General features: G+C 44.4%; 1 protein-coding gene across 17 annotated transcripts in view, besides 6 other annotated features; it reads left to right on the top strand.

The window, feature by feature from the left end:
• The window catches only part of TOM1L2 (target of myb1 like 2 membrane trafficking protein), a 128,890-nt gene that overhangs the window by 36,295 nt on the left and 71,971 nt on the right, over nt 1-20,624 (top strand). The gene's annotated exons all lie outside the window — the stretch shown is intronic.
• Nucleotides 12,563-13,095: an enhancer, noted in NCBI's record as "H3K27ac-H3K4me1 hESC enhancer chr17:17826325-17826857 (GRCh37/hg19 assembly coordinates)". NCBI's record gives its function as "activates a minimal SCP1, AML or CMV promoter by ChIP-STARR-seq in naive H9 embryonic stem cells {active_cell/tissue: H9 hESC(naive)}" and the evidence as "EXISTENCE:reporter gene assay evidence [ECO:0000049][PMID:30033119]".
• Nucleotides 13,096-13,629: an enhancer, noted in NCBI's record as "H3K27ac-H3K4me1 hESC enhancer chr17:17825791-17826324 (GRCh37/hg19 assembly coordinates)". NCBI's record gives its function as "activates a minimal SCP1, AML or CMV promoter by ChIP-STARR-seq in naive H9 embryonic stem cells {active_cell/tissue: H9 hESC(naive)}" and the evidence as "EXISTENCE:reporter gene assay evidence [ECO:0000049][PMID:30033119]".
• Nucleotides 13,630-14,163: an enhancer, noted in NCBI's record as "H3K27ac-H3K4me1 hESC enhancer chr17:17825257-17825790 (GRCh37/hg19 assembly coordinates)". NCBI's record gives its function as "activates a minimal SCP1, AML or CMV promoter by ChIP-STARR-seq in primed H9 embryonic stem cells {active_cell/tissue: H9 hESC(primed)}" and the evidence as "EXISTENCE:reporter gene assay evidence [ECO:0000049][PMID:30033119]".
• Nucleotides 14,257-14,551: a silencer, noted in NCBI's record as "tiled region #12990; K562 Repressive DNase matched - State 8:EnhW". NCBI's record gives its function as "represses a minimal TATA promoter and a strong SV40 promoter by Sharpr-MPRA in K562 cells {active_cell/tissue: K562}" and the evidence as "EXISTENCE:reporter gene assay evidence [ECO:0000049][PMID:27701403]".
• Nucleotides 14,698-15,231: an enhancer, noted in NCBI's record as "NANOG-H3K27ac-H3K4me1 hESC enhancer chr17:17824189-17824722 (GRCh37/hg19 assembly coordinates)". NCBI's record gives its function as "activates a minimal SCP1, AML or CMV promoter by ChIP-STARR-seq in naive H9 embryonic stem cells {active_cell/tissue: H9 hESC(naive)}" and the evidence as "EXISTENCE:reporter gene assay evidence [ECO:0000049][PMID:30033119]".
• Nucleotides 15,232-15,765: an enhancer, noted in NCBI's record as "H3K27ac-H3K4me1 hESC enhancer chr17:17823655-17824188 (GRCh37/hg19 assembly coordinates)". NCBI's record gives its function as "activates a minimal SCP1, AML or CMV promoter by ChIP-STARR-seq in naive H9 embryonic stem cells {active_cell/tissue: H9 hESC(naive)}" and the evidence as "EXISTENCE:reporter gene assay evidence [ECO:0000049][PMID:30033119]".

The raw sequence follows: 20,624 nt of genomic DNA, 5'->3' as shown, positions 1-20,624 counted from the left end.
AGGAGCAAGCGAGGCCAAGTGACAGAATGTAGACTTTGTCCTAACAGCAGTGGGAAACCGTAAAGGAGCTATAAATGCAGGCCAGTGACATGATGAGATTTGCATTCCAGAAAAGCCACTAGCTGCTGGGTGGAGGATGGACTGGGTAGGATAGGAGGGGAAGACCTCCCTTCTGGGAGACCAGTTCAGACTGTTGCACAAGGCAGGCACCACCAGTGTGAGTCATTCCTCAGAATTTGCTAAATTGATAGGTGGAAGTGCATTTCACTTAAATTTTCATTTCTGTAATTCCTGCTGAGGTTGAATATTTTTAGGTTGATTTGCCAACTGTATTTCATCACTTGTGACCTCGTTCCTTATGTCCTAATGGCTCTTGGAGCATGATGGCATCATTGGTGGACTTTAGAGATGGTATAATAAGGTGTATAATTCAGCTTTGCATTGGATCCCATAGAGACCCAGGGAGGAGGTGACTTGCCCTGGGTCCCTGGGACCAGGATTGGGGCTTCCAGGTGCACCATCCTCTGCTTTCTCCAGTCCTCTAAGCTACCTCCTAGAGCAGGCACAGTTACCAGGACCTTGGAAAGCACAGCTCGGCAAGCTCAAGGTCTACTGACAAGAAAGAGCAGTAAGAGGATGTGGAGAAGGTCACTTTTCTGCCATTCAGATTTGGAGGAAGAGGTTCAGAATGCAGCAAGCCCAATTTAAATCAAGGAGTTCTTAACAACTGGGGGCATCTTTGTTTCAGAAGAAGCTCAGCTAAGGCTGTTATTTGCCAACAGATTATAAGCATTTGCTAGAGTAGAAAGATGTATAGAGAATAGAGCCTTCAGTATGAAGTTACCTCCCTAGACCTGACTCACAGTTCAGCTGCCTCCCCAAAGTTAACAGCATCCAACTTGTAGATCTTGCCTATTAATGTATTTATTAGTTTGCTTGTTTGATAGCCACAGAGGCTTCCTGAGGAAATTGTGGGCAAGGGTTTGCCGAGAATGTACCAATTGGAAAAACTTTTCTTAATAGCTGGCTGCTTTCTATGCTGTGGGGTCTTGTGCATTTTGGTTCCTCTCAGAGGGTGGCTGGCTTTGTATGCAGTGCACATGGTGCCCTGAGTTCCACTCTAATTGCTATGTGCAGGATAGCTGAGTGCAGCACGGTGGCTGAGTAATGAACCCGCATTTCTCTTTGCAGCTTCTCTATTAGGAAATCTCAGGAACCTGGAGCCTGTGTTTCATTCTGAAGGTTTTCCCCTGTTAAATCTGAATGATTTCAGATTGTTAAAACACTACCATTGTAGGCAGTGGCCTTGTCACCGTGCCCTGCATACACAGTCATGCCCTTGCTTTGGATGCCGTTCTTATTTGCCTTTTAATTTTACCCAAAGACCAGATAAGATGAAATATCGCATATTGTTATTTCTGATGGCTGTATAGGTCGACACATTTTTAAAAATCATAAATCTTGTTACAAAATAAATATGTATTTTTAGGAGAAAAATTTTAGAAATTATCCCCCTAAACAAAACAAAACAAAACAAAACACAGTAAGACATAATTACTCTCACTACTAAGATGTTTGCCATTGTTACCGTATCAGGGGCTAGCCTTTCAGGCTTTGTTCCTTTGCCTAGGTATATACTGTTTTTTTGTGTGGTTTTTATTTTTGAGACAGGGTTTCACTCTGTCTCCCTGGCTGGATTTAATGACATCATAGCTCACTGCAGCCTTGATCCCCGGGCTCAAGTGATACCCCTCCCTCAGCCTCCCAAGTAGCTGAGACTACAGGAGCACACCAACATATCTGGCTAATTTCAACACTGTTTTTGTAGAGACAAAGTCTCACTATGTTGCCCAGGCTGGTCTTGAACTCCTGGGCTTAAGCAGTCCTCCCACCTTGGCCTCCTAAAGTGCTGGGATTGGAGCACTTTGAAAATGGCTACCATGCCCAGCCAGGTATACACTTTTAATATAAAACTGTACATACTTTTAATATAAAATATAAAAAATATACTAGTTTGTGTCTTGATTTCCCCCCACTTAATGTGTGATGCACACTTGCCTACTCAGATTTTTTTTTCCTAACCTAGTATCTAAATGTGTCTGTGGATTAGGGGCAAGCCTTTCCAGGCAGTGAGTCACCTTGTGGGATAATACTGTCATCTCAGGCAGGGTCTCATGCTTCAGCCATGTTTTGGGCCCAAGTCACATTCTTTAAATATTGTCTAGGGTGGCAGATCATCATCTTTTGAAGGATGGATTTGATTAAAAAAATAAGCCAATACTTTTTCACACCCCAGTGTTGGATGCTGAGCAAGGCCATTTAGGCAAACTTGAGTTGTGGTTGTAACAAACGAGTGGGTTTTCTGGGTGACTTGTAGGGGAAGGAAAGAGGATGAGAGTAAATATCCATCAGACAACTATTATGGCTCCACCAGGCTAAACATTTTAAAGCCAGATCTAGACCTCTGCATAAGTACTGTAAGTGTGGTGGTGGCCCTCAAAATGATGCTTAGGGGGCATCAGAACCTCCTGGGGAGCTTGGTGAAAAGCCCATGAGGCCAGGATTGATGGGGGTCAAGGGAAAGAGGCCCCAAGGGAATATGAACCTCATCTGTAATTGCAGTAGACACTGTTCCACAGGCTCCCAATACCTGTTCCTCATTTCTTCTTTTCTGACGGAGTCTGATTTTGTTTGGATTGCCTATGTGCCCAGCTATATTCTCTTACTTAGTTTCCCTTGCAGCTAGGGGTGACTGTATGACACAGCTCTGGCCTATGAACAAGAGGCAGGAGCTCCTGAGGAGAGCACCTCTTCATAAATAAGATGGCAAAGTCCTTTGGCCCTTTCGTGTTCTTCCTGCCTGCTTTATAGACTGCCAGGTAGAGCAGTGGTGCCTTGCAGCTGGAAGGATGGAAAGGAGGGAAGCCTCAGGCCAAGGATGGCAGAGGAAGAAGACAAAAAGTTCCTGGGTCCTTTATGGAATCCTTGAGTGGATTCCATAAATCCACTCCAGCTCTATACTGCCTGCTTCTAGATTTCTTCTTGTTCCCTGAGAAAAATAACCCCCATCTGTTTAAACGACTGTTAGTTTTTTAATTGCTTGCAGCTGAATGCAATCATAACTGATAAGGTAATGTTTTAATATTTTACAAGGGGGAAATGTATTTACATATTGTGCAATTAAAAATGAAAAATAATTTAAATCCCCACAGATTTCTGGGCCCCACATCAGATGCACTGAAACAGAATCTTTGAATCTTTGGGGATGGGACTCATGTAGCTATATTTTTAACAAACTCTACAGATGATTCGGGTGCACAATAAAATGGGAGAACCATTTCCATATTTATTAATAGTATTAACTCCATTTTATAGATAAGAACATTGAGGCCCAAGGAGTTGAAACACCTTACCCCAATATTTTAAAGTAAGATTTGCATGTAGTTCTGTCTGGTTCCAAAGTACATTCCCCACCACATCCCATGCCTGCTCCAGAGAGGCCTGGCTTTCCCCCAACAATACAGCCATGCTACTTCTGAGGGGAACTTCTAAAATAGAAGATTCAACTGTTTGTAAAACAGTTTTACACTGCTGCCCAGGGACAACATTACCATAATTCATCTATCCCCAGGAAACAAAGGGACGTATGTTTTCTGGCATGTTTGTTAAAAAAGAGGGCTGGGCACGGTAACTCATACCTGTAATCCCAGCACTTTGGAAGGCTAAGGCAGGAGGATTGCTTGAGGCCAGGAGTTTGAGACCAACCTGGGCAAAGTACCAAGACTCTGTCTCTACAAAAAATAAAAATAAAATAATAAGAATAATGAAATAAAAAGCATGTTCATAAGTTCTTGGTCTTGTCTTCTACTTTCAAAACAAAAATTCTTTGAAATTAGCTTTTTCCATAGATTTTCTAGGGTTAAGTCACTTAAGAATTACTAGAACATCTCACCCATGAAAGGTAATTATGGTTGTTTTATGAGTGTGGAAGACATATAGCTGGTAAGTACTAGAATAGTCTCCTGTGAGTTATTAGAACTCACAATATTCATGTTGTACCAAATTAGCCATCAAGAACTGATAGATTTTATCTGTAGTTTATCAAGGCATTGGTCAGTGATATACATTCATAACAATTAAACACACACCAGCTCCCCTTGATGAGATCTTTGGGTAAGGTGGCCACCTCGGGTTATATTAATGTGATTTGCATGGGTATTTGGAGACCTGTATGATAAGAATTATTTTCTGACAAGGAAGAGGATCTTTATTGTGTGAAATAGGAAGTCAGTGTGTTGAGACCCTCAAGGGGCTAACAGTGTCACGTGTGTAAAGTTTGGCCCAGGAGTTATAGGAGCTTTGCGTTCTGAACCTGGATCTGGCATGAAGCTACTGCATGTCAGACTCTCTGATCTAATTCCAAACAGTCAGGCTTTTAGATAACTCTGCAACTCCATTTTTGAGGTCCCCTCATGTGTAAGGTCTTCTGGGAGATGCTTCATTGTATTGCCTTTCAAGGAGCTCATTTTGTACGGGGGAGGGGGAGAGAAGACAGATACCCAAGTCTCTATTGTGCCAGCTATTGCTCCCCCAGTTCTCCTGAGGACTCCTGTGTGCCAGGCCCTGTTTCTGTTCTATAGATGTGGAAACTGAGGCTCAGAGACATTTAGTTATTTGGTTAGGATCACACAGCATATAAGCAGCTGAATCAGATTTGAGCTCAATTGGTCTGACTCCAAAGATCTTGCTGCCACTTCTGCATGACTTTGCCTTGTTGGTGCTCTGCCTTGCTTGGCAGTGCAGAGGCATGGGCTGCGTGGTAGAATGAGACCTCTTTTGATTGGAGAATTGGGGAAATCTGTAGAAGAGGAAGGATTTAAAGAGGATAGGATGGGTAAAAATAGGTAGTAACGAAAAGGTGGGGATGTGTTCTTGGAAAGAGGAGTCTGGTTTGGTTGAATGTGTAGTTCTTTGTGGGGATGGGATGGGGCAAAATAGGAAAAGAGAGGCTGCAAAAGTAACTGGGACAAATGGTAAAGGGCAGTTAATACCAGGCTAAGTTACAGGAAGAACATTTTATATTTTATATGAAACTGTTGTTGAAGACATTCCATATTATGCTATTCATTATTCCTTAATATGAGTGACTGCAATAAATCTCAAAACTTACTGTTAGGGAAAAAAAATCCCCATCCTAGAGGAATGCCTTTTATTCTGCCTTTAATCAGCAAGGAAGGACTGTGGAAACTCATTGTCTTTCCCTTCTTGCCCAGGCCACCAGGAAGCATGGGCCTAATTAGTGTCTAGTTGCAATAACTGTCTTATCTCTCTGGTTCTTGGTAAAACATTTCTTCTTTTATTCCATTTGGTTTTCAGCCTTCTTGTTTTATTTGTCTTGGGTATAAATTATTACTAAAATTACCCTAAATTCCTTTTGGAAGTAAATGGAACATACCCTTCTTGTACCATCACAAGGAAAGTTAATAAAGGGCTGGAACAGGGCAGTGATGTGACCAAAGCTTGTTTCAAAACATTTTCATGGCATATTGATGAGCTGATTGCAAGAGGCTGCTGGGGAAGGGTATTTTATCTCTTGGACAAGATGTGGAATAAGTCAGACTTAGGAGCCCCAAGTGTCAGGAGGGGCCTGCCAGGTGTCTGTCTACCGTGAGGGTCTCTGCAGTCCTCCTTGTGCCTACCAAGTTCAAAGTTAGGTCCTACACATTCCCAGACCCCCCTTTTTTTTAACCACTTTCACAAGAGTCTCTGATTTGGTCATTTCCTAAGACCATCTGGACCAATTTTTTGGTTTTTGTTAGGAGAATGGGCTAAAGTTTGTATGTTGGTAATTCTCTATACCCCACTTTCTGGAGCACTTAAGGCAACACTCGGTAAAATGACTGCATAATGAGTAGTGTCAGCATTCCAGTCCAACAAAAAGAGGCTGTCTCATGGTCTGATAACCTTAAGGACTTCAGGCTTGGCAGTCTCATTTCTGAAGAACTAGAATGGAGTGTCTTTTTTGTTTTGTTTTTGGAATGGAGTGTCTTAACCATGGTGCTCTTGCCTTCCTGTGTGTGCCCAGGCATGGGCTCTGTATCTCTGCTAGTGGTCTTCATAAAGACACAGAGACAGCCCTCCCAACAGAGCTGTCACTCACTCTCTGTAGTACCTCACTCATCGCAGCTGCCTTGCTGTTGTGGAAATTCATGTTGTGTTTAACTTGTCTAAGTGTTCATACCAACAGTCACAGCTAAAGCTCTAGGGCAGAAGTGGTATCTGACTGAGGCCAGGGATTGGTGAATAACCTGTTGAAAGTGTGTGCAGAATTGTGTGTGTAATTCTCTGGAAAGGTCTTATCAGATTTTCAAAGGGAATGTATTCTTCCTTTAACATCTTATCCAAAAAGTTAACTACTGCTCTGAAAAATGACAGTCTATGGATTTCTTCCTGACATTCTTTTTTTTGTTTTTGAGATGGAGTTTTTGCTGTTGTTGCCCAGGCTGGAGTACAATGGTGCGATCTCGGCTCACCACAACCTCCGCTTCCCGGGTTCAAGCGATTCTCCTGCCTCGGCCTCCTGAGTAGCTGGGATTACAGGCACATTCCACCACGCCTGGCTAATTTTGTATTTTTAGTAGAGATGGGGTTTCTCCACGTTGGTCAGGCTGGTCTGGAACTCCCGATCTCAGGTGATCCACCTGCCTCCCAAAGTGCTGGGATTACAGGCGTGAGCCACCACGCCCAGGCTCTGACATTCTTGAATATCCCTATCAACCCCTCTCACCCACCCAAAGCCTGCTGCTCAAAGCAGCTCTAAGCAGAAGAGATGGAGAAACATTCAGACTGGGTGGAGCATGGCCCAGGCTGTGTTGCTGCCCACTTCTGTCTAGATGGGCAGTTCTTGACTTCCCCGCCTGACGCTGCTGAGCAGCCACAGTCCCGACTGCATTCTGGCTTGTACCCTTTACTATAGTGCCAGCCACAGAGAGCAGCCATGCAGCATTTTTAAGTAGCCAAGGAAAGGCCCGTTCTCACAGCAGTGCTTGGGGAATCTTCAGACTTGGTATTAGGAACCATAGCAATGAGACTTGTTACAAGCTTGCAAAACAAAATGGGATTTTTCTGTGTGGTCCAGCAAGGATCTAGACAGAAAGTCTGCTTGATTTTGTTTTGCCTTGCTGGCTTCATAAACCCACGTAGCAGAAGCACTTTGTGAATCAGAAATGGAAGCATTGTTCTCTGATACTGAGGAATGCCTTTCCTGAATGGCTACTGTGGGTGGGAATAGCTCTAAAGAAAAAAAAAATCCTGAGACACAGACAGCAGCTATTTATGTTCTATTCTGTTTGACACACATTATTGAATACCTACTGTGTGCTGGTAAAATTCATGGTGCATCAGGGAAGGCAGGTCCATGAGGAACCATTAGACAAGCAATAGGGGCTGGATGAGCCTCAGCAAGTGAGGACTGTGAGATCCCAGAAGAGTGCAATTAATTCATCTCGTGTGTGCATGCTCACGCGGGGGCCGTCTGGGGCCCTCACTGAGAGGAGGCAACGAGCTGAGTGTTAAAGGGAGGGTGTCGCCTTCTGTGTTCTCTTTTGACCCTTTCCATTATGTGAGCATGCATTTTTACCTTGTGGTGATTAGTATGCACATAATATTTTATCCTGCCTGTTTTCCTCTTAGCATTCCTATGCCGATTTCCACTTAGCGACTAGGCTGAAGTATTTATCATTTTAAAAAGCCACGTAGCGTTTTTGCCTTATTGATGTACCCTCGTTGCTTAGCCATCTTCTCGTTTGTTGGGAGCAGCAGTGTTTTTCTCAATTATGCATCTTTGCAGAATCAGCTCTCCCCTTCCCCCTTATTTATTTCCTTAGGGGGCTATTGCCGGGTCAAAGTTATGAATGGTTTTATGCTGTCTCCTACTGATTTTTTTTGTTGTTACAGAAAATTTCAGACATATACAAAAGGAAAAAGATGACTATAATGAACCCCCACATACTCATCATTGAGCTTCTACAATTATCAATTCATGGCAGTTTTGGTTCATCCATAGCCCCACACACTTTTATCCTGGATTATTTTTCAGTAAATCCCAGACATCATATAATTTCATCTATGAATACCTAAGTATGCATTTCTAAAAGATAAGGAATCTTTTTAAAAGTATAGCTGACTGGGTGTGGTGGTTCATGCCTGTAATCCCAACACTTTGGGAGGCCTGGGTAACATAGTGAAACCCTGGCTGTACCACGAATACAAAAATTAGCCAGGTGTGGTGGCACATGCCTGTAGTCCCAGCTACTCAGGAGGCTGAGGGTGGGAGGCTCACTTGAGCCTGGAAGGTTGAGGCTGCAGTGAGCCAAGATTGTGCCGCTGCATTCCCAGCCTGAGTGACTGAGTGAGATCCTGTCTCAAAAAAAAAAAAAAAAAGTATAGCCAACAGCTTATTATCATATCTAAAATAAATTAATCATAATCCTTAATATCATAAAATATCTAGTCATCCAACTGACAGTTTAAGATTCCCTAGTGTTTTCTGTGGCCATTCTCACGAGGCCAAATGTTTATTTGCTCCACCATGTTCTTCAGGGAATGTTTCCCTTGATGTATCACATTGAGGTTGAGTTCTTTATCAAGAAAGGTCTGCATGCAGGTCCTGGCCTCAGAAAGAGATGGAGGGAAAGAAGAAGGGATAAAGAGAGGCCTCTCTCCACAGCCTCTGCAGCTGGCCTCATGTGGTTTGCGCCACATAGGGTGGTAGGTTCTCTCTGCCCGTTACTCACATGGTAAACCCAGCTGTGCTGCTTTATCCACATACCAGCTTGACTTGGTACAGTGTGCTGAAAATAATGTCGGGCCTGTCCCTTTGGACTCCACCCCCATTGAAGAATGCAGTTTCATGCTGTTGGTTTTTTTAGTGCTAAAGAAACTAGATAGATACTGTGTTTATTTTTCTACAGTAAAAATCCGAAAAGCTAGGAAAATGCCTATTCCCTGTTGGATTTTGATCTTATTTGCATGTTTCCCTTGGCAAGCTTTGTTTCGTATTATTCAAGGTGACCCACTTAGAACTACTGTTTAAAGTCACATTGTCATTAATAAGTTACACAACCTGTGTGTGATAAGTCTGTTAGCCCTGAATATTGTATAAACAGGAATACATGCTTGTGTTGGGGCTCTTCTTCATATTTAAATATGGTTACATTTCTTTTTCTTTTTCTTTCTTCCTTTTTTTTGAGACAGAGTCCCTCTCTGTCGCCCAGACAGGAGTGCAGTGGTGTGATCCTTGCTCACTGCAACCTCTGCCTCCCAGGTTCAAGCGATTCTTGTGCCTCAACCTCTCAAGTAGCTGGGATTACAGGCGTGTGCTACCAGGCCCAGCTAATTTTTGTATATTTTGTAAAGATGGAGTTTCACCATGTTGGCTGGTCTTGAACTCCTGAGCTCAAGCAATCCGCCCGCCTCGGCCTCCAAAACTGCTGGGATTACAGGTGTAATCCATCACACCAGGCCCAAATATGGTTACATTTAAATGTAATCTTCCCTGTTTGTTCTCACTGTTGATATTCGTGACCTTTCTATGTTGATGAATAGGAGTAATTTCCCAGATGATCTAGAACCCTATTGTATTTGGCTTTGGAATGTGAAACACGTGTACATTTATGTCCGCATCTCCCCTTGTGCCAGTCCAGACTGGCTCTCAGTTTGGTCCTCCTTAACTAGCTGGGTACCCTGGGTGACCTCCTTTGGGACAAGGGAGAGTTAGCAGGGAGGCCTGGTCAGAATAAAATGCCTTTTGAGAGATATTGGGGTTACCAGGCTTTTATCCTTAAGTCTGTATGTTCAGACTAAGTAATGAAGCTTACTTATGTTTAGGCCAGCTTGAAAGCTTGTACCTAGCTTTTTTTTTTTTTTTTCTCCAAGAGACAGAGTTTTACTCTGTCCCCCAGGCTAGAATACAGTGGTATGATCACAACTCACTGCGGCCTCGACATCCTGTGCTCAAGTGATCCTCTCACCTCAGCCTGTGGAGTAGCTGGGACTACAGGTGCGTGCCACTGAGCCCTGCTAATTTTTAAATTTTTGGTAGAGACAAGGTCTTGCTGTGTTACCCAGGCTGGTTTTGAATTCCTGGGCTCAAGTGGACTTCCTGCCTTGGCCTTCCAAAGTGCTGGGATTATGGGCATGAGGCACCACGACTAACCTATAGCCTATACCTAGCTTTTTTTTTTTTTTTTTGAGACAGGGTCTCACTGTGTCACCCAGGCTAGAGTACAGTGGCACCATCATAGCTTACTGCAGCCTCCATCTCCTGGGCTCAAGCGATCTTCCTACCTCAGCCTCCCAAGTAGCTGGGACTATAGGCATGCGTTACCACATCTGGCTAATTTTTTTTTTTTTTTTTTTTTTTGGTAGACACGAGGTGAGGTCGCTATGTTGGCCAGGCTGGTCTTGAACTCCTGAGCTCAAGAGATCCTCCCACCTCAGCGTGGCAAAGTGCTGGGATTAGAGGCATGAGCCACTGCGCCTGGGCTATACCTGGCTATTTTTGATGGAAGAATTAAATAACTGGCTTTTAGTTTTGGTCATTAGTTTGCCACTTTCTTTCTTAGTCTTTTGCTGTATAATATCCTCTTTCCTTCTTTTTGTAACAGTAATAACATAAAAAATTTTTAAAGTTTGCCTTTAAGCCAAATACTTCAACACACTGATTATTTTCACTTTTTCCCATTTATCTTCCAGGCATTATCCATATGCATGTTTTTTTAAAAATCAATTTTGTGTCTTTTTTTTCTTACATCATTACAAAATGTTTCTATATGGTTTTAAGAATTATTACTTATAATGGCTGTATTAGGTTGTTCTTGCATTGCCATAAAGAAATACCTGAGACTAGGTAATTTATAAAAGAGGTTTATTTGGCTCATGGTTTTGCAGGCTGTATAGGAAGCATAGTACTGGCAGCTGCTTCTGAGGAGGCTTCAGGAAGCTTTTACTCATGGCAGAAGGGGAAGGGAGAGCAGGCACCTCACATGGTGAAAACAGGAACAAAAAACAGAGAGAGAGAGTGGAGGAGGGAGTGCCACACACTTTTAACTGACCAGATATTGCAAGAATTATCACAAAGACATCATCAAGGCATGAAGGATCTGCCCACCAGGCCCTACCTCCAGCATTGGGAACTACAATTCAACATAAGATTTGGGTGGGGACAAATATCCAAACTATATCAATAGCTATATAATATTCAGTGGAATCAATATACTATATTTAATCATCACTTTTTTATTTTATATTTGAGAAGTTTTAAGAATTTTATTTTATTTTTGAGGCAGGGTCTCACTCTGTCCCTCAGGCTGGAGTGCAGTGATGTGATCACGGTTCGCTGCAGCCTCAGTCTTCCGTGCTGAAGCAATACTCCTATCTCAGCCTCTTGAGTAGCTGGGGACTACAGGCATGTACCACCATGCCTGGCTAATTTTGTATTTTTTGTAGAGGCAAGGTTTATGTTGCTCAGGCTGGTCTCAAACTCCTGGGCTTAAGTGATCCTCCTGCTTGAGCCACTGCACCCAGCTAAGGATTTTAAATAATACTACATTGAACACATTCCTAGTAGCTTTTCTCCCATTTTTCAACAGCTTTATTGAGATATAATTCATATGCCATACAATTCACCCATTTACAATGTACAAGTCAGTGGTTTTTAGTATAGTCACAGAGTTTTTTTTAAAAAACATTGTATTCACAGCGTTGTTCAGCCATTACCACAATCAGTTTTAGAACATTTTCATCATTCCGTACCCATTAGCAATCACTCCCCATTTCCCCCAGCCCTTCCAACCCCAGGCAATCACTAATCTATTTTCTGTCTCTATAGATTTGCCTATTCTGGACATTTTATATAAATGGAATCATACAATATGTAGTCATTTTTACCTTTGTTTTTGTTTTTGTTTGAGACAGAGTCTTGCTCTGTTGCCCATTCTGGAGTGCAGTGGCGCGATCTCGGCTCACTGCAACCTCTGCTCCTGGGTTCAAGTAATTCTCCTGCCTCAGCCTCCCGAGTAGCTGGGATTACAGGTGCATACCACCATGCCTGGCTAATTTTTGTATTTTTTTAGTGGAGACGGGGTTTCACCATGTTGGCCAGGCTGGTCTCAAACTCCTGACCTTATGATCTGCCCACCTCGACCTCCCAAAGTGCTGAGATTACAGGCGACAGCCACCGCGCCCGGCCTTTTTTTTTCTTTTTTAGACACAAGTTCTTGCTCTGTCTCTCAGACTGGAGTGTCTCCCAGCCTCCAGTTCCTGGGCTTAAGTGATCCTCTTGCCTCCCAAGTATCTTTTTTACCATTTTAAAGATGTGTATAACATAAAATCTACAATTTTAACTTTTTTCTTTTGAGATGGGGTCTCACCCTCTTGCCCAGGCTGGAGTGCAGTGGTGCGATCACGACTCACTGTAGCCTTGACCTCCTAGCCTCAAGTGATCCTCCTGCCTCAGGCTCTGGAGTAGGTGAAACTACAGATGCTCACCACTGCGCCCAGCTAATTAAAAAAAAATTTTTTTTTGTAGAGACAGGGTCTCCCTATGTTGCCCAGGCTTAAAAATACATGTTAATACAAGTGTTGAAGTTTTACCATGGGTGTTTGTTGTTGTTGTTGTTGTTGTTGTTTTGTTGTTGTTGTTTGAGATGGAGTTTCACTCTTGTCGCCCAGACTGGAATGCAGTGGCGCGATCTCGGCTCACTGCAACCTCCACCTCCCGGGTTCAAGTGATTCTCCTGCCTCAGCCTCCCAAATAGCTGGGATTACAGGCACCCACCACCACGCCTGGCTAATTTTTTTGTATGTTTAGTAGAGACCAGGATTTCATCAAGTTGGCCAGGCTGGTCTTGAACTCTTGATCTCAGGCGATCCGCCTGCCTTGGCCTTCCAAAGTGCTGGGATTACAGGCGTGAGCCACTGCGCCCAGCCAACACTGTGGCTTTAATGAGCACAGCAGGTATGAGCCCTGGGAAACTTCTGGGAGTCTTTCTCCTGGTGTGGAATTTTGTAATCACTCTTTGAGGCCTTTTTATAGCCTTGTTCCTGGTGATGCCTGCGGTCCCTGGTTGGCCTCACAGGCTAGTTGGTGCCTGGCCAACAGATTGCAGCCTTGTCCTGGTCCTCTCTGCTCACACTCCAGGAGGCAGTTAAGGTGGCCACTTCACTATTCCACCTGGAGGCTGCAATAAAAGCATTGGAGACAGTCACCCTCCCCTTCTGCTTCCCCGCTGGAATTCCGTCTTTCCTGAGATGCAGTCCACAGAATACACAAGTTAAGAATTGTGGTTCATATTTATTGCGCCCTCACTATGTTCCAGGTTCCCTGTTTCGTGTCTTATATCACTAACTTATTTGATCTTAACCACACCCTGTGAGGAGGTACAATTGTTTTGCCCGTTTTATGGATGAAATTCAGAGAGCGTGAGAAATGTGTCCTAGGTCAGAGAGAGCCAAGACTGACCCCCAGTCCCCAGATTCAAAGCCATGACCTTGACCAACATGCTGTCCTGTCTCCTTTTCTCACTGAGCAGTTGTGATAACCTGCCCCCTGCTTCCTGCCTGCAGTCTCTCCACTCCACTACAGCCCCCATGCTGTTACCAGAGCGATCTGTCTCAGACATAAATATTCTTGTCACTCCTGTTGAAAAGCCCCATGTTGCCTCCTGTGGAAAGCCCAGACTCCTTAGAGAAAATGAAAGGACACTCCAGAGCTGGCCTCCTCTCACCGCTCCCCTTCACCGAGGCCCTGGCCCTGGGAGGCTGTTTGCATAGCCTATGATGTTCCTCTCTCTTCAAATTCCTGCTCTTTCCTTGTACCAGGCCCATTTCTTAGCTTTCACAGTCCCCTCTGCTCCCCTGTTCAGCCTCAGGTCTGTGCCCTGTGTCCTGGATGGCTGGCTGCAGGTCTTTCCTGGGGAGTGCTTTCAGTGTAGGGGCTCCATCTTACTTCTTTCCATCCCAGTCTGGCAGGGAGAGGCCTCACAGTTGAAGTTTTTAAATTGAGCTGGGAAGTCTTTGGATAATCCTTCCCAAGGAGTGGCATTCACATCTCTGGGATGTGTCTCTGTCATCGGGAGAAGCTCAAAAAAAAGGCTGGTGACAGTGTGGCACACTGTGAAATTCTCAGGCACACCTCCTCTCTTCTCTGAGAGTGCTGGTGGTGAATGGTGGGCACGAGGGCGAGGGGAACAGCCCCTGGGAGGCGCTCTGGGGAAGAAGAAATTGGCAGCAAAGCAGACTGCACGAAGAGGCCGAGAGGAAGACAGGACAGGTGAATCCCACCCCCCCACCCCGCCCCCACTTTCCCTTATCTGCTCTGCTTTAAGCAGAAACTGTAACCTGATCACCAGGTCACAGAGAAACTTTGATCCTCCCAGCCACCCCCACCTGTCTGACATTAGAGCACAGCCTGCTAGGCTGGGACAAGCTGGCCACAGCCCCCTCTTCCCCAAAGCCTGGCACCATCTTGGGGCCTGGCTGGCTCCTGCAGAGGCCTTTCCTCCCCCATGGCCAATTTCCATCCTGGCCCTAAATTGGCCTCTTCCCCCAGCTACTCTCACACACTGACTCACACGTAAGTTATTCCATTAAGTACAAAGAACGGCATACATCAAATACCAGTGGCTCTGCTTCTAGAGAGCACACCCCAAATGCATTTTAAATCTGTGGATCCTCCTCAAGGGAATTCCAGTTAAAAAAGAACTTGGGTCAGCAGCCTCGGGCCTGTGTGGCTAACAAGCTTCTGTTTTCTCTGTTGTTTGGCTGGCCTGAAGGGTTCCTTTGTTTGGGGAGTGGGAGGATGTGGTGTCCTAATGAGGCCAGGGTGTGGAATTGGGGCTCACACAGAGCTGTCCTTTAGAACTGAGCTCTCCAGACAGGAGAATAAGTTGGGGAGTTTGAGAGTTTATTGGTCTTTAAAGAAAACAGAAGGTTTCAAAGAGAGGAAAACAAAATGCAGTGTGGTATTCTGGATCGGATCATGAGCAGAAAAAGGGCATTATTGGAAAAACTGGAGAAATCCAAATAACATCTGGAGTTCAGTTAATAGTACTATACCAATGTTAACTTTTTAGTTTTGGCCTGTGTGCAGTGGTTATGTAAGATGTGAACTGCCTGCAACGGTGGCTCACACCTGTAATCCCAGCACTTTGAAGGCTGAGGCGGGTGGATCACCTGAGGTCAGGAGTTTGAGACCAGCCTGGCCAACATGGTGAAACCCCCGTCTCTACTAAAAATACAAAAATTAGCTGGGCATGGTGGCGGGCGCCTGTAATCCCAGCTACTCAGGAGACTGAGGCAGGAGAATTGCTTGAACTCAGGAGGCAGAGGTTTCAGTGAGCCGAGATCGCACCACTGCACTCCAGCCTGGGCAACAGGGTGATACTCCGTCTCAAGAAAAAGAAAAAAAGCCGGGCGCAGTGGCTCACTCCTGTAATCCCAGAACTTTGGGAGGCCAAGGCGGGTGGATCACGAGGTCAGGAGTTCGAGACCAGCCTGGCCAACATTGTGAAACCCCGTCTCTACTAAAAATACACAAATTAGCTGGTGTGGTGACAGACACATGTAGTCCCAGCTGCTTGGGAGACTGAGGCTGGAGAATTGCTTGAACCCGGGAGCCGGCGGTTGTGGTGAGCTGAGATTGTACCACTGCACTCCAGCCTGGGCAACAGAGCGAGACTCCATCTCAAAAAAAAAAAAAAAAAAAAAAATATTGAACATTAGCGGAAACGGTGAGAAGAGCAAATGAGAACTCTGTTCTATCTTTGCAACTTTTCAGTAAATATAAAATTATTCCAAAATAAAAGATGTATTAATTAAAAAAAAAAAGAACGAGAGAATAAAGTGACCCAGCATCTAATTTAACTTGACACTTTCACCAGCACTCTCTTTTACACTTAAGACTTCACCTAAAAATCAGGAGGGTCTTTAGACTTCACCTAAAAATCAGGAGGGTGGGCTGCATCCAATACTCTGGACCGTCTATTGTGGAGGCCAGGGTCTTCTTTGCCTCTGTGACCCTCTACCTGAGGATGGATCAGGGTCCAAGGCCAGGCTTACCAGGAAGACCTGGGTCATGTGGTTGGCAGTATTGCTACCTCCTCTCTGCACACTGTGGGGCTAGTCACCCCACCAGGCTTCATTTTCTTCCTATTAGAGAGAGAGAACCTTCCTGGCGGCTGGGGCGTGGGATGGTAGGGTTAAATGAGGTAATGTCTGTCAAGAACCTGGCTCAAACCAAATAAACAGGTTTTCATTCTCTCTTCTGTTTCTCCATTTTTTTGGTGAAAAGAATGAGAGCCATTTCCTTGAAGACTTGAGACCAGTGGTTCAATGGTAGCTTTAAGGGCAAGAAACTGCCCATAGGGAACTTGCAACAACACCGTGGCCCCTCCTCCCCCATGCCCCACTTCCTGGGGTCCAGGAAATGTGGACTTATGGGGAATCTTTTTACTAGATGGTCTCTAAGACCTCTTGGAGTTTTAATGCTTGGATTCTTAAGGAAATTGTGGTGTGCCTGCTCCTTTACCCTACAGGTGGGGCAAGCCAAGTTTGGGGGCTTCCTTCTGGAAGCATGGAGGTCTTCCTGGCTCAGTAACCCAGAAATCCAGAAAGCTAGAGCTCCCAGGGTTTTGAATCTGATGGGTGTAGCTTGTGGATGGCTGTTTACCTGTAGGTGGCAGTGGTGACACGGGAATGGGAGAGGAGGGGGGTGCAAGGGGAGGGCACTGGCAGAGCTCCTTTCAGAAGAGCTGTAATAAAGTTAGAAGTAACAGCAAGGAAAGGTCCTCTGTATTAGAGGCTCTGTCAGGTGTTTTCTGTATTATTTAGTCTCCTCTAACAGCCACTGTGTGAGAGAGTGCTGTTATTGCAGCATTTTGCAGCAGTCCAAAAGGCTTGGAGAGGTCAAGTTATTGCCTGTAGTCACACAGTAATTGGCAGAACTAGAACTCACCAAAATCTGAGTTCACACTCCCTGTTCTAGACTCCATTATAATGCACATTTCTCCTGCTTCTAAGTCTGAAGGGAGAACCGGGGACAGCTGGGAACCGAGCTCTCATCTCACCAGACTGCCCAGTGCCTGTCACCTGGGGGCCTCAGAAGGGTTTATAATCATCATTTTACTTATAAAGGGCCCTCATCAGCATAAAGCCAGGCCTTCTTGACATGAAGATGTCCTGCCTCCAAGCAGCTTCCAGTTTAGGTTGGGGTTGGGGGCCAAGAAGATACTTAACGGCTCATTAAGCCGGTAAGATTTGAAAAAGTTCTCAGAACATTAGAATGGTCTTGAAGGCTCAGTCCTTGTGTGAACTGTACTATCAGGTGCTGGAGCCCATCAGAGGGCCTCTCTTGTGGGCGGCAGCAAAGAAGGTTCTGGAGAGGACGTTGGATGGGAGCTAGATATGGGCAGATAGGCTGGAGAGAAGGCTTTCCAGACAGAAGTCTGAGGTGACTTTCTCAGGGCTTGCAAAGACCTGCAGATCCTGTTATGGTTCCTGTTTTCACCCTCTTGCAATTTTTTATGGAATAAGGACTCAAATGGGTCTTCTCTTCAGCTTTGTTTGCTCTCATGGTGTATGACTGTGTTTTGTAAAAATATATATAGGCGCAACGATGCTGCCTTTCACCACTTCTATTCAACATGGTATTGGAAATTGTAGCCAGAGCAGTTAGGGAAGAAAAAGAAATAAAAGGCATCTCAATGGGAAAGGAAGGAGTAAAATTATCTCTGTTCCCTGATGACATGACTTTACATGTAGAAAACCTTGAAGATACCACAAAACAAAAAAAAAAAGAAAAACTGCTAGAGCGAATAACATAAATTTACCAAAGCTGCAGGATACAAAATCAACATTCAAAAATCAGTTGTGTTTCTGTTAATATACATTAACAATGAACAATCTGAAAAGAAAAGAAAACAATTCCATTTACACTAGCCTCTAAAAAAATAAAATACCTAGGAATTAACCAAGGCAGCAAAAAATTGTGCACCGAAAACTATAAAACGTTGCTGAAAGAAATTAAAGAAGAAAGAAGACATAAATATATGGAAAAACATCCTGTGTTCATAGATGGGAAGACAGTTTTTTTTTAAGGCAGCCTCATTGTGTTGCCCAGGTTGGAGTGCAGTGGCTCAATTACGGCTCAGTGCAGCCTTGACCTCCCGGGCTCAAGTCATCCTCCCACCTTAGCCTCCTGAGTAGATGAAATGACAGGTGTAAGCCACCACTCCTGGCTAATTTTTAAATTTTTTGTAGGGATGGGGTCTCCTTATGTTGCCCAGGCTGTTCTTAAACTCCTGAGCTCAAGCAGTCTTCCCACCTTGGCCTCCCAAAGTGATGGGATTTACAGGCATGAGCTGGCCTGGGAAGCTAATATTTTTAAGATGACAACACTACCCAAAGTGATCTACAGATGTAATGAAATCCCAGTTAAAATTGCAATGAAGCCAGGCATGGTGGCATGCACATGTATTCCCAGCTACTTGGAAGGCTAAGATGGGAGGATTGCTTGAGCCCAGGAGTTTGAGTCCAGACTGGGCAACATAGCAAGACCCTGTCTCTGAAAAAAAAAAAAAAAAAAAAAAAAAAAAAAGACCAATGGTATTTTTTTCAGAAATAGAAAAATCCATCCTAAAATTCACATGAAATCTCAAGGGACCCCAAATAGCCAAACAACCTTTAATTTTTATTTATTTTTATTTATTTTTTTGAGATGGGGTCTTGCTCTGTCGCCCAGGCTGGAGTGCAGTGATGTGATTTTGGCTCATTTTGCAACCTCTGCCTCCCAGGTTCGAGTGATTCTCCTGGCTCAGCCTCCCAAGCACCTGGGACAACAGGTGTGCGCCACCACGCCCAGCTAATTTTTTAAATTTTTTAATTTTTTTAGATGGAGTTTCACTCTGTCTCCCAGGCTGGAGTGCAGTGGCGTGATCTCGGCTCATTGCAACCTCTGCCTGCTGAGTTCAAGTGACTCTCCTGCCTCAGCCTCCGGAGTAGCTGGGACTATAGGTGTGTGCCCCTGCGCCCAGCTAATTTATGTATTTTTAGTAGAGATGGGGTTTCACCATGTTGGTTGGCCAGGATGGTCTCAATCTCTTGACCTCGTGATCCACCTGCCTCGGCCTCCCAAAATGCTGGGATTACAGGTGTGAGCCACTGTGCCTGGCTAATTTTTGTATTTTTAGTAGAGACAGGGTTTCACTGTGTTGACCAGACTGGTGTCAAACTCCTAACCTCATGAGATCCACTCACCTCGGCCTCCCAAAGTATCGGGATTACAGGCGTGAGCCACTGCGCCTGGCCCTAAACAACCTTTAAAAAGAACAAAGTTGGAGGACTCACACTTCCTGATTTCAAAACTTACTTCAAAACTATAATAATCACAACATCATGGTATTGGAATAAGGAAAGACACATGGACCAATGGAATAAAGTAGAGAACTCAGAAATAAACTCTCCCGTATATGGTCAATTGATTTTCAGCAAGGGTGCCAAAAGTATTTAGAGGGGAAAGGACAGTCTTTTCAACAAATGGTGCTGGGAAAACTGAATATCCACATGCAAAAGAGTGAAGTCGGACCATTATCTTATACCATATGCAAAAATGAACCCCAAACAGACCAAAGACCTAAACATAAGAGCGAAGGGAAAACTATAAAAATCTTAAAATAGGCCGGGCGCGGTGATTCATGCCTGTAATCCCAGCACTTTGGGAGGCCAAGGCAGGCAGATCACGAGGTCAGGAGATCGAGACCATCCTGGCTAACACAGTGAAACCCCGTCTCTACTAAAAATACAAAAAATTAGCCTGGCATAGTGGTGGGCGCCTGTAGTCTCAGCTACTCAGGAGGCTGAGGCAGGAGAAGGGCGTGAACCCAGGAGGTAGAGCTTGCAGTGAGCTGAGATCGCGCCACTGCACTCCAGCCTGGGTGACAGCGCAAGACTCCATCTCAAAAAAAAAAAAAAAAATCTTAAAAAGGGGAAATCATGACATTGGATTTAGCAAAGATTTCTGAGATATGGTACCAAAACCACAGGCAACAAAAGAAAAAATAGATAAATGGGACAATCAAAATTTAAAACTTTTGTGCATTAAAAGATACAATCAAGAGAGTGAAAAGACAACCATAAAATAGGCGGGATTAATATTCAGAATATATAAAGAACTCTTACAGCTTAACAACCAAAAAAAAAAAAAAAAACCTACTCAGTTTAAAAATGGAGCCAAGCATTGTGGCTCATGCCTGTGATCCTAGTACTTTGGGGGGCCAAGGCAAGAGGATCACTTGAGGCCAGGCGTTCAAGATCAGCCTGGGTAACATAGCAAGACCCCATCTCTACATAAATTTTTTTAAAGAAAATTATCTAGTTGTGGTGGTGCATCCCTGAAGTCCCAGCTACTTGGGAGGCTGAGGTGGGAGGATTGCTTGAGACCAGGATTTCAAGGTTGCAATGAGCTATGCTGCTATGATTGGGCCACTGCACTCCATTCTAGGTGACAAAGTGAGATCCTGTCTCTTAAAAAAAAGGGGTGAGGGGCCAAAAAAATTGAATAGATATGT

This window comes from Homo sapiens, chromosome 17, assembly GCF_000001405.40.
Source record: "Homo sapiens chromosome 17, GRCh38.p14 Primary Assembly".
Classification (NCBI taxonomy): Eukaryota; Metazoa; Chordata; class Mammalia; order Primates; family Hominidae; genus Homo; species Homo sapiens.
Note: the sequence above shows the minus strand (reverse complement) of the source record. Positions and strands in the feature narration are given on the sequence as shown.